The 13,778-nt window shown below is 35.3% G+C and overlaps 1 protein-coding gene across 12 annotated transcripts in view; it reads left to right on the top strand.

The window, feature by feature from the left end:
* The window catches only part of INPP4B (inositol polyphosphate-4-phosphatase type II B), an 823,376-nt gene that overhangs the window by 119,030 nt on the left and 690,568 nt on the right, over positions 1-13,778 (top strand). For 11 of the 12 annotated variants that reach the window (NM_003866.3, XM_047416359.1, XM_047416356.1 and 8 more), the window contains one exon: positions 1,605-1,667. The exons of the other annotated variant lie outside the window; for it this stretch is intronic. The gene's annotated coding sequence lies outside the window, so the exon portion shown is untranslated. The remainder of the gene's footprint in view (positions 1-1,604; positions 1,668-13,778) is intronic. 12 annotated transcript variants of the gene reach the window in all.

Below are 13,778 nucleotides of genomic sequence, written 5' to 3'. Positions count from 1 at the left end.
CTAATAATGATATTCACCAATTACTTGAAATAATTGTCCACAGATGTGTTTCCTCCACTAAACTGTGCTTTTCTTGAATGTCTTTTTGTTTGCTGTGGTTTCTTCAGTCTGCCACAGACGTTGGCTTGCAGTAGGGGCTCACCAGGTGTTTTCTGAATTAGATCGAGTGTTCATAAGAGTAGATAAGGGCCAGTTGCTTTAAGTGAGTCTTGAAGTATATCACAATTTCTTGAAGGCCTTCTTCAAGCTAAAGTTCTCAGCAAAATCAAGGGGAACCACTGCAGTCGAGCAGTTGACAGCTTACTAATCTTCTTGAAATACTGCTATTCAATCTTTTTCACCCACCAGCCTGAAAGACCCAGAAGGACTCTTTCTTCCTTCATCATCACAGAGTCTAATTAATAAATAAACAAAATAGGTAATGTCCAGTATGATATGATTTAATCATTTTATTGTGTGGCTCACTAGGGCAGTGATTCTCAATGGAATAGTAAGCCTTTTTTGTTGTTGTTCTTTAAAGAACAGTGATAATAATAGGAATAATAATGATGATATTATATTAGCTTATGCTTTCTCATGCTTAGCTTGGTACTATGCTATGTTCTTTATATGTATTTATCTCAATTATCACCTCCATGGGGGATAGGAAAAAATATCATTCCCATATTACAGATGAAAAATGAAGACTTACAAAATTTATTTGTCCAAAATACACAGTTGGTAAGATGTAGTGATTGCAGTTATATCACTATTCTTATGACTGCTTTAGTCAATTAATCAATGTTGTTTTAAACTGTTAGCATCTTCTATTCAGCCAAATAACTTTCTTAAGGGGTGAATTTAAAATTCTTACCTATGTATGTAACAGTCCTTTCTGGAAAGCTATTGCTCAGGCTTGAATTTTGTATCCTCCAATCTGAACATTTAGATAATGATGCAATAAAATCTATTATGGGATACTCCTCAAGATTGTTATACATTAAGGCAGGGAATAAGATATATTTTCATAACTTTTGACTTCGATAAAGTACTTTCCTCCTTGTTGCAGCATAGAAAAGCTCTGAAATTACATCTCATAAGGAAGGTAATCTGCAGTTATTTACAGTTGTCCCACAGTATCTCATTTTATTACTTTGTGGAAAGACCCAAACTTTCATGAATATTTTAAAACCCATGCTCACTAGCAGTGGAAGGAAAGTCAATTTAGATAATTTTAAATTCCATTTCAGTCCATTGTATTCCAAGTAAATGTTCTGTCCTGACATTGCTTACATCTTGTCTTTTGAAATGATGGAAGCTAATGCCTTTTCTTGCTCGAGTGCCAGTTTTGTTCACATGTGAGAGAAGAAAGAGAAGCAAAGAAAACAGGGCTGAGTATCTGCTGCAGTCACCCATGTTCTCAGCTGTAAGGGAGAAAGGACATTTGGGGAAGTGATTTGGCATTTAAAGCAAGTGTTTCCTGAGGCAGCTGCTGAATGGAGCTGAATATTTTGTTAAATGATTTTCTTCTCTGACCTTTATTACTAATGAATCTTCTTTAAGAAGCATTTAAAGAGGAAAAAAGAAAGGTTGTTTTTATTAATCTTCTTTCTCTTTTCCCGTAGAATACAAAGAAATGGTGTTACCTGGCAAGAGGTCTTCTGTCTTTTATGAAAAATTAGACAAAGGTAATGCTTATTTTGAATTGATATTTTTTCATTCTGTATAACTCTACATGAAACTAGTTGACTTTCCTTGATTATTCGTTTTAGATATTGAATTACCCATCAAAAAAGTAAATTATTATCTGAAAAGCCAAGGGAAGGCCTTACGATGATCATCAGATTGATAAAGTGAACAGTACATTTTTAGATATATAATAGCTTTTCAAAACATTGTGGGTAATGGTTAATTTTCTGATACCATTTTGAAGTTTATGTTAATATATAAATAGGATCTTGAGTACAGGATTGCAGTCTCTTTGGAAATAAATCCAATTGGTTTATCATATTTACAAATGATAGGTAATAACAGCATTAGACCCTTGTTAGGGTACAATGATAAGATTCTTTGTGACTTTATTTGGCGTTAGTCAGATGACTTTATGTATTTTTTTGAATATACAAAAAAAATTTCAATATGAATTTCTAGAAAATGTCATCAAGCTTTATGAAGACACCCTCATGCAAAATACATATTTTCTTTGGAAAGATTGAATTATATCATGCAGTTGTTGAATAGCGTGCCTGATTATACTTAACAGATGCATATTTAGTTGCTAAATTTTCAAATCACTATGTGAATTATTTACATATGTTGTTCTAAGAATATGAAAACTCATGCAAATATTCTAATGACATACGCATGTACACAAAGTGTGAGTATGGCTGCAGATAAACAATGTGTGTATGTTTTATGAATAAAGCTACTATCTCAAAAGAGATTTTTGCAGAAAAGTTTCAGACAGTTTAGAATTTTGAAGGGAACTGAGACATCCATTGAGTCCTGTCTACTTATTTAGCTATGAAGATGTGATGACACTGTATGTTCATGAACATATATAGTATATTAATGAAATGTATTATATATTTTTATATTAACTAGAATTGATTGGGTTTTATTTTTGACAAATTACTGAATTTCTAAAAATAAATGAGTACTGAAATACAGGTAGCATTTAAATGTAATGGATATCAGCAGAAAGCTTATTTCTGAACTTTGATTTGCAGTTGAGCAAAAATAAATTGTTAAATTTGAATTACAAATGTGATATATTTCTACATATTTCTGGCTTCTAGGTAATTCTTCAAAACAGGTATAAACCCCTTGAGAAAATAGCTTCTTTTCCTAAGGGTAGTCACCCTATCCAAGTTTTATCTATACTGAAATGTTAATTCAAATTAAAATGTTCTTAAATGGTTAATGAAGTTAATTGAGGGTTGTCTTTTACATAGAACTATTAGCTTTGACTCTCCAAATAGGGACATTATAAAGAGAACAAATTCCTAGACAATATGTGGAAGAGGTTGAAGCTGAGCTGTGTGATGTAGGCATAGGGAGATAAATGCTAGAAAAGTGCTTGTTGAAGGCAACTCAATGGAAGATGGCACAGTAAAGAGAGAAAGAGAAATATCCTGAATGAGATGAAGCCAATGAGGAAGGTCAGGGATCCATGTGCTTTAGAATATAAATAAAGCATGCAGGGAGCACAGACTCTCCAGGTTGCATTTATGTGAATTTTTCTTTTCTCAGAGATATGTATATACTAATATACTCATTTTTAGGCTTTTATTTTATTTATGTAAGCTATGTATAAGCTTATTTTGAAGTGAAGGTAACAAAGGAAGACTTAGGGTGAGGGAAAGTAATTCCCATTCATGGGATAGAATTTTCAGCATCAGTATACCCAGAGTAACAAAATTTGTTTTTTTTCTATTATGTAAATAAAGGAATCAAGGAATCATTCTGTGTATTGCCAAAATTTGGCATGATACAACTCCCAAGGTGATTATGATCCAAGATATGTATGTTGCTGTGGAGGTTGGAAGTGAGATATTGAGGAATAGCTAGGGATGGGAGAACTATGGCCAGGAGAAATGACGTTTATGTCATTATCTTTCTGGGCTGGTCCTATAGATTTGTTGAACTGGGGGTGTTTGCAATCTCGTAAAATTCCTATTAATAAGGTAATACACACTAACATATTAACATTCTGCCTATTATCTCAGATGGAATATGTGCATTTAAATTTCAATGTTTAAATAGTGGAAGTTTAAGACATACTAGTGAAGGTGTTATTTTTAAACAAATGGAACCATTCAGCTTTTCTTAGTATACATGATGACTAACACATTCATTTTGTGTAGGATTAATTCTGGCAATGGGCTCAGCATGCAATCTGTTGGATTAACCGACACTTTTATGTGTGCAGATACCTGTGAGTTCTACATTTGACTCTTTTAAAAAGGGCATTTAAACAACTTTTCAGGTAGCGTTTTAATGTGAAGTTATTGGTTATAAGTTATAGTTACAATTTTCTTAATTTTGTCATCCAAAGATGGAGGGAACTTCAATTAGTCAGGTTAAAATATCTTTCAATATACCTGGTAGGTATACCATGGTAGGATTACATGTAAAAATACAGACCGTGATTCTGTTCAATTTTTACATAGGTTTACATGTCCTGGAAATAGATCAAATTTCAATTAAGAAAATTTCATGACTGTAATTATATTTTTATTATGCAGGAATGTTAAATTTTATTCTCACATATATTGAATTTTTTCTGGAGGAAATTGAAATAGCATATTAAGAATTCAGCAATTCTTTTATGTACTGTAGGTTTACTATATTTAGGCTTTCTGTAAACACAATTTTGTAAATTGAAAAGAAACTGGGTTATAAGGCTACTATACAGGGTTACTTATGTTCAAGGACAGTAAGAAATAAGTTGTAAATATATTGTTTACAGATTGGTTTTATTTTGGTTTATTTGATGTAGGAAATGATACAGATGTGATACATGTTGAGATTTAAAAGGATACAAATCTTGTGATATTTTAAGGGTTTATTACAGATTATATTTTCTATTATTTATCACATACCTACTATAATAACAACTGAAAGTACAGCATCATAACTTGCAGGTTGATTAATAAGTTAGTGACCATGCATTTAAATGAGAGTTAGAAATAGTTTAAGGCTAGTGATGAAAAGTACATGTAAATCTCACAGTGCCGAAATTAGGTTCTATGTCTGATATATACCATACAATGCTTTACAAAAACATATTCATAACATCAGCACAGTATGCTCCCAATGAGTATTTAAACTGCAAATCAGAGAATAAATCATTGAACATTTTTATGGAGAAGTGATTAAAAAGTAATTATTAAAGAAAAATTTACATGAAAAGAAGCTGTTATGGTAGTTTTTAAGAATGTGGCTTTTATGATTTTTTTCATTTGCAAAAAGTTCTTGGTCTTTTTAACTCTTCTGGGTATTAGTTTCTGTGCAATATTTTATCTTTTTGAAACTCTCAGAACTATAAACCACAGCATTGTCTAGAATCAGCTCCTGCTACTGTTCAAGGTCTTCCATCAATTCCCCAGCTATGTTTCTTACCTTATTTATGTCTCTCTTAACACCACATATTCCAAACATTCTTGTCTTTGCTTAGGTTTAAAGCTTGGCTTTGAATGTCTGGTCTGCTTTCTTCTTTATTCCAAAAACTATGTAACCTTAAAACTTCTCTTTAAGATGCTTTCTGAGACCTTCATTATATTACAACTCCCTTTCTCCCTTAGCCAGCCTACACTACATTCACTCACACTTAGTTGTGGTATCCGCCATACTGTCATTGATTTGCATATTCTGGTATATTCTTGTATGTATACATATGTATATGTGTGTGTGTATATATATATAATTTGATATCATATATAAAGGTGCACACACAGACACGGATTTTTTTCTTCAATATAATTGTAAAAAAGATCTTTCTGCCAGCCACGTTTACTTTTCCTTATGAGTAAAGCAGACAAATTTTGAGTGAATGAGCTCCTTGAATCTCCAGGATTTCCATTGAAGGTATATTTAAAAGACTAAAAGATCTCTTTGTAATAAGAAAGTTATAATTTTGCTATGTTTTGTATTAATTAGGACTACCTGGAGAACCTACTATGCTTTTATGACATCTTTTTTTTTAAGACGGAGTCTCTCTCTGTCACCCAGGCCGGAGTGCAGTGGCGCGATCTCGGCTCACTGCAATCTCTGCCTCCCGGGTTCAAGCAATTCTCCTGCCTCAGCCTCCCAAGTAGCTGGGACTACAGGCACGCGCTACCACGCCCGGCTAATTTTTGTATTTTTAGTAGAGACGGGGTTTCACTGTGTTAGCCAGGATAGTGTCGATCTCCTGACCTCATGATCCACCCGCCTCGGCCTCCCAAAGTGCTGGGATTACAGGCGTGAGCCACAGCGCCCGGCCTTATGACATCGTTTTAATAAGAATAAAATCTAAATTCCAATCAACTAATTTATAACACCACTGTAGGAACACATTCTCTTCACCAAAGGGAGACAGCTTAATTTTATCACTTACTGGCTTTGTGCCACTCCATACATCATTGCAGAAAAATCTAACCTGCCCTACCCAACAAAAGCATTTTTGTGCAAGAGCATATACTCTGCTCTATAGTGGAGTCTCTCTAGGCTAAGATCCTAAAAGTACTTAAATGCCAGGTATGGAAATGGAGTAGGGTCATGGTTATTTGGAAAGCTGAAAAGAAATTAGGCCTATTGGGTTTGGGGAGAAGCCTTTGGGAATTGGGGCTCTCAGAGAATTGGCAATTCCCAGTAAAAGACTAAAGTCTTTGAGGGAATTGGTTCCTTTAAGGCTTTAGCAGATCTGCTCATTTTTATTTCTGGTTTTGCAGCACTAAGATTACTTTGGAAGGAGAATCACATCATTGAAGACAAAGTGATCTGGGCTACAAATAATTGGTAACATGTCCACTAGATTTTGCAAGTACACGCTTGAACATAAATGTATGTTTGTTCTTCTCTTTCTCTCTCTCTATATATATGATGCTGAAAATCATACACACACACACACACACACACACACACACACACGAGATGCACTCCAGCCTGGGTGACAAAGTAAGACCCTGTCTCAAAAAATAAAAAATAAGAAAACTATATATATATATATATATAGAGAGAGAGAGAGAGAGAGAGAGAGAGAGAGAGAGAGAGAGAGAGAGATTATATATATATGTATATATATATATATATGTATATATATACACATATACAGTTGGCTGTTCATATTAATGGGTTCCACATCCATAGATTCAACCAACTGGGAATCAAAAATATTTGGAAAAAAAAACAGACAATAAAAAATAATACAAATTAAAAGACAATGCAGTAAAACAACTATTTATATAGCGTTTACACTGTAGTAGGTATTATAATCTAGAGATGATATAAAGTGTCTGGGAGGATGTGCATAGGTTATGTGCAAAGACTATGCCGTTTTATATAAGGGACTTGAACATCCGCATATTCTGGTACATTGGGAAAGAGGAAACCTGGAACCATACCCCACTGGGTAATGAGGGATAGCTCTCTATATTTTTAATGAATTTGATGTTTTAAAAAGTATGCCACTAGATGTCAGCAGCAACCTCCTAGGGGTCCTGTGACCTTAATTTGCTAACAATAAAAAATGATACTTCATTAGAACATCTTACCTGAGAATAGTAGGTACTTAATTTGAAAGTTTAAGAACTATTTTTTTTGCCGTACAAAGAGTAGGAGTGCAGGCATAAAATATTTTTGAATTATTTTCTAAACCAGTTTCTGTTCACATGTAACAAGTTATTTTTACTTCCAGTATTCTCTGTATCATTGAGATGACAATGACGAATTATGGGTGAACTTGAGTAATTTGTCAGGAATTGTACCTGATGCCAGAGCTCTAAACTTCTGCTTTGATACTTTATGATTCATTTATGCCATCATTGGATGGGTATTTGTGCTTTGGTTTTGTTTCATTCTGTTTTTGTAACAGCATTTGGTGCTATAGCCCATCAGAAGATTGTGTAGTATTAATTTTTCGGCATCCACATCTGTGCCCTTTTTACTTAGTAAATTCTATCTTTAATTTTTTTCCTTAATAATTTCTAAACTTTCATGGATCTCTGTTCAGTTGTTACAAGGTACTCAACTTTTGGATAGATGCCATAGAGTATTATGAATGTTTGCTCATGAGTTGACAACATCATCTAGAAATAAGAAAAAATGATATTTTCCATGGATTATAGTACATATAATTTTTTAGTTTTTAAGAATTAGTAAAAGTATCTCATTTTTTTCAGAAATTAATAAGAAAATTATAGGCTGGGTTCAATGGGTCATGCCTGTAATCCCAGCACTTTGGGAGGCCGAGGCGTGCAGATCACTTGAGGCCAGGAATTTGAGACCAGCCTGGGCAACATCGCGAAACCCCATTTTTACTAAAAATACAAAAATTAGCTGGGCATGTGACGGGCACCTGTAGTCCTAGCTACTCAGGAGGCTGAGGTGGGAGGATCACCTAACCCCCGAGAGGTTGAGGCAGCAGGGAGCCGTGGTCACACCACTACACTCCAGCCTGGGTGGCAAAGTAAGACCCTGTCTCAAAAAATAAAAAATAAGAAAATTGTAGTATTGGCCAATGTTCAATAGATACTAATAATGTTATTTTAAATAATGCCATTAATTTTTTATAAGGTTAGGTTTACATTAGCAGGAGGATTCAATCTAATTTGTTGGATCTTAAGCATGATTTAGAAATCAGTCATAGGTGATTGGGTGTGAGTCAACCAAGTGTGAAGCAGGTTTGTAAGTGATAAAGAGAAAGGAAGAGTTGTTCCCATTTCTCTCCCTTGGAAAAAAATCTGCTTTAAATCCATTCAAGATGTAAAGATAATTATAAAAACATTTGCTTTCCTGAAGCACATTGTACCAAGGAAAATATTAATGTAAATGTTACATCTTTATCATGTTTAAGATTTTTTTAGTTGGTATAGTGAGGTGGGGCTAACTGAGCTAGTTCATAGGCTCAGGGAATATGTACTTTCATACTGAAGTTGTTATATTTGAGGATTATTGGTTTAACTTCATAAGATTAACACTGAGTTTCTTAAATCTTACTGAGTTTTGCATCTCTATTTTAGAACTACCAGTAAAAAGGACTTAACAGGATTTTCCCCAAGACTTTGATTGTTATTCTTTAATTATGTTTACAGGTGATGAGGCAGACATTTGAAATCATGCTACAGTTACTTGGCATATGAACATCAATATGAACATCAAGCTAATGCTGTACCTTTCATTCATGAATAGCACTTGCTCGTGGCCCTGACTACCTATGCCATGAGAAAGTGCTATTCATGAACAGAAGGCACAGCGCTAGCTTAATGTTCAGTTAAGACACTCTTATCATTGAGCCTGATGCGGACGCACAAGTTTGCTTGATCTAGAATAGTCCAGCCTATGCTTCCCATACTTAACTCTCTAGAAGGGGCAAGGAATAAGATCCGATTGGGGCATCTGTCTTCAGTCTGCCACTTTCTTCGTAATTTATAGTTAAATGACAACTGCTCATGAGGTATTTTGAATAGAGAGCCCGCCAGTTTTAAACAAACTGTTTTAACTACACTTAAAAAGCTAACTTCCATTTCTATATGTATCAGTGCATTTCTTCTCAACATGTTCATTTGCTTGTACATTTAAGTGGATTAAGTTAAAACAGAGAGAATGGGGTTTCCTTTGGGCTATTTCATAAATTCAAACACCTCAATCTGACATTCAAAGACTGCTTTTCTGCTGCTGCATTCTAAATTTTCTCAACCTCATTTCCAGTCGATTCCTCACCCAGATGTTGCCTTGTAGCTATACAGCCTGGTTGATCTCATATGCATACGACTTACTTATTTCTACCCTGCTGGCTTTGCATTTACCATTCTTTCTACCTAGAATTTAACTTTTTTCTCCCCTTTCCTAACATCTTGTTCTTCGTTTCAGAGACAGAAGAGTGTACAAGGGGCAATTCTTTTTTTTTTTTTTTTTTGCTTTCTTTTTTCTTATTATTATATGTTAAGTTCTAAGGTACATGTGCACAATGTGCAGGTTTGTTACATATGTATACATGTGCCATGTTGGTGTGCTGCACCCATTAACTCGTTATTTACATTAGGTATTTCTCCTAATGCTATCCCTCCCCCAATTCCCCACCCCACGACAGGCCCCGGTATGTGATGTTCCCCGCCCTGTGTCCAAGTGTTCTCATTGCTCATTTCCCACCTATGAGTGACAACATGTGGTGTTTGGTTTTCTGTCCTTGTGATAGTTTGCTCAGAATGATGGTTTCCAGCTTCATCCATGTCCCTGCAAAGGACAAGAACTAATCCTTTTTTATGGCTGCATAGTATTCCATGTTGTATATGTGCCACATTTTCTTAATCCAGTCTACCATTGATGGACATTTTGGTAGCCAGATAGTTTGGGTTCGAATCCCAGACTGGTAACTTCTTAGCTTATTGCTTCCTGGCTGAAGCAAGCTATTTAAGCTCTGTGTCTAATATTGCCTTCTTCTGCAAAACTGGGAAAGAAAGATTCTTACATAATTTAGTTACTTAAGTGAGGATATTAATAGAAACTTAGAATAGTTACTGGTACATAGTAAGTAGTTAATGTATATTAGCCACTATGAATTCCATCAAGTCAGTTTCAAAATTCATCCTCATAAAATTTAGTCTCAAAATTTACTGTCCTTCATGCAGCCACTAATCTCATTAGCATGTATTTCAAGGTCTACCTGCCCACTCTATCAGTACTTTTACATTTGGTAATCTATACATTTTAACCACTTGGTATATTCATTTCCTCATCAATAAAAAGGACAGTAATACTTGCCATGGTCATACCTAGGGTTATTATGAAGACAAAACTAGAAAATAGAAATAATAAGATTGATCATAGTAACCATTTATCCTGCTCTTATGTGTAAGAAACTGAATTAGAGGTTTTACTTATGTTAACCTATCACTTAATACCTTATCCTCATGTTGGTAGCAGGGTTCTAAGAAGGAGAAGGCAGAAATGTGAAAGAGCTCTTGAGGCCCAAGGTTCAGAACTGACACAAATTACTGCATGCTACTGACCATTACAATTGGTTGGATAGAAGAGGCAGGGTAATTGAGGTCGTTTCACAATGAATATGCCAGAAATCCATCCTACATATGAAAAAACTTTAATACAATGAGATTTAAATACTTGCTGCTAATGTAGACTTGGGACCTCTACCTGGCCTGTTAGGAAACTTTACCTTTCAGGATCCAGTGATTCTGCAAGGATTGGGCACGTGCCCTGAGCAGAATTATTCATAGCCATAACATGAGAAATGCTATTTAAGAGAGAAAGATTCTTCTTTTAGGATCAAAATTGTCAGGATGTTGACTTATGGCAGCCAGTAATTTTTTGTTCTGCCGTTTGGGGAAGATAATGCAACAGTTAAAAATTAAAAGAAAAAAATTGAGAGATAAGAAAGAGCCAAGATACAGAATGAATGAGCAAGTATTAGAAAGATGCGATAGTATCATTTGGGTCACTGAATCTAGCCATACTTGAAGCCTATAGCTTGCTAATTTTTGTAGAATATGTATGTGTATGTTATTAAACAGGTTTGACTAAGGTTTCTTTTATTTGAGAACTAAACAATTTTAATTAATGACAATGGATTAGTTTGCAAAAATGGCCACAGCAATGTCTCCAGTCTCAAATGTTTTTCCAGAACCTCGTTGGCATCCCCATCAAGAGGTGAGGACTATTTTCCCCTCCCTTGAACCTGAGTGGGTTTGTGTCTGCTGTGTTAAGCACTGGAGAAGTAATGCTATGTGATCTCCAAATGTAGGTCATAAAGTTGACATAGAAGCTGCTTGCCTCTCTCTTTTTTGGGACACTTGTCCTTAGAATCTGGCTATCATGTTGTGAGAAAGTCCAGGCCTAATGGAGTAACCATTTGTAAGGTGTTCCAGCTGACAGTCCAGCTAAGGTCTCTGCCAACAGCCAGCATCATTTGCCAACCATGTAAATAAACAAATCTTCAAATGGTCTCAGCTCCTGGCCTTGCCACAGCCCAAGTGATAATGAGTGAAACAGAGAAAAGCTATCTCCCCATGGTCCCAGCCTAAAATGCAGATGGTTAACAAAACAAATGTCAATATTTGAAGCCACTAAATGTTGGGATAATTTGTTAGGCAGTCATAGCTAACTGCAACCCTAACTTCTCCCAGAGCTCCTTCCCAGGGCTCTCTTCTGCTACACTGTCAGACCCTGCTCTACCTGGTACTGCCATTCCACTTTCACCTATGCCTTTATTTCTACACACTTTGCTTTACCAGGTGGTTATAGACATTTTGTATTCAGCATTGTATTTCACTGACTTTGTGATATGCTATTCTTGGATGAAAATGGGGTTGGAGATCCCCATGTTATTCTATGCCCCCTATTAAAAAGCTGGTATTCCAACTTGACAAATTCTACTCCTACTTTCTAGTGCTATGCTAGCGGATAGCCACTAGGCACATGTGATTATTTGAATTTGAGTTAAATTCAAATTAAATAAAATTGGGAATTTCTTTACACTAGCAACATTTCAAGTGCTCAATATTTATATGCAACTACTGGCTAACATACTGGACATTGCAACATTATAGAGCATTTTAATCATCTCATGGTTCTATTAGATGATACTGCTCCAATTTGCAAATCACACATGTGGCCCAAGGCTAAATCCTTTAAATACTAGGATTCAATGATGAAAATCTTTTTACCTAGAGCAGAGAGCTCAAAAGGATTTGGTCTCTCTTACTCAGGTTTGAGCTCTGGGAGAGGACAGAGATGAAAATCTCTACCTCAGTTAATAGGGTTGTGTTTCATTTATATTCACATGAAAAGACTACCTTTGGTAGACTTTCCTAATTTATTTCCTAGCCACTGCACATGTGGACAATTGTTTATTTTCTTGTTAACATTAGTTATATATAATAACATTTCTTATTAACATTAGTTTCTGTTTTTCAGTCCAGTCTGATTTGTAGAACAATTCAATTCCCAGAAGATAACCCAGATATCTTTTGCAAATATTTGGGGCCCTTGTTCTCCCAGCAGAGAGTCCTCGTGAGCACATAGGGCTCCTGTTGACTTGAAAGTGAACTCTGGCTGTGGAGTGGATATTACTCCCTTAAAAGAGAAAAAGAGTAACTTCAAGGCAAAAAGGGCCTTTATTCTCCCTGGGTGTAAGTTTCCTTTAAAGCTTGTTTATTGATTTTTCTTGTAACAACTGAGCTTGCAAGCTATAAAAGAGAAAAGCAAAAACAAATAGAATCAGGGAAATAATATCAATGATCAACAAGTTTATTCATCAGCTTTATCTCATTTGTAGTCAGCCACCACAGGCCTGTGAAATAAAAAGCACCACAAGCTGCAATCCCAGTTTTTATTATGGAATCCATAGACTTTAGCTGGTCAAAAGGGAAAACAAACACTTCAATTTTCAAGCAAGGGTCCATTGTCATTAAAAGTGATTGTGCCTGAATTTATGTCAACGTGTGAGGAAAGTGCAGAAAGTAAGTGAAAAGAAGAGAACATGGTTGAGGGCGTGATGCCTGGTACAATGACAGTGGCACCAATTTTGATCTCTAATTAGTCTGTCAAATTGCCTGAAGTACCCTCTGTTAATATTGTTCCTATAGGAAAACATATTTCTAAATTTATGACCCATGTGATGAACCTTTAAGAAAGTCCTCTCATTAGGTAATTTTGGAAAATGCTGAATTTTATATCTCCCTCCTGTAATTTTATGATGTAATTGTATGATGCACATTAGAATATTAGTCTCTGAGAAATCTTGCTGTAAAGAAATCTGTTTAACTTTGTTTAATCCAGCATTTTCTCAGATTGGTGGACCATTAAGCCTTCTATATTTTAGTGTATGTTTTCATGTAATACTCATTGCATCTAGTGGTACTAGCTTTCAATGAAGCACACTGTAAAATGCTGCTTTAGAAGAAAACATGGTTTCCTAAGTGGGCAGCCCAAAGTTTACCCAGGGAAAGGGTAACACTTTAACACATTAGCATTTGTTTAGACAGATTGGCTTTCCTAAATGAGCAGGATCTTAAAACCCCCAGGATGTAGAAGAGGCCAGCACATATTTCCTAAGGAGTGCTGTTTCAGGGGACTCCAGG

The sequence above is a fragment of the Homo sapiens genome, chromosome 4 (genome assembly GCF_000001405.40).
Source record: "Homo sapiens chromosome 4, GRCh38.p14 Primary Assembly".
Classification (NCBI taxonomy): Eukaryota; Metazoa; Chordata; class Mammalia; order Primates; family Hominidae; genus Homo; species Homo sapiens.
The sequence above is the reverse complement of the archived record's forward strand: the minus strand, read 5'-3'. Positions and strand labels throughout refer to the sequence as shown.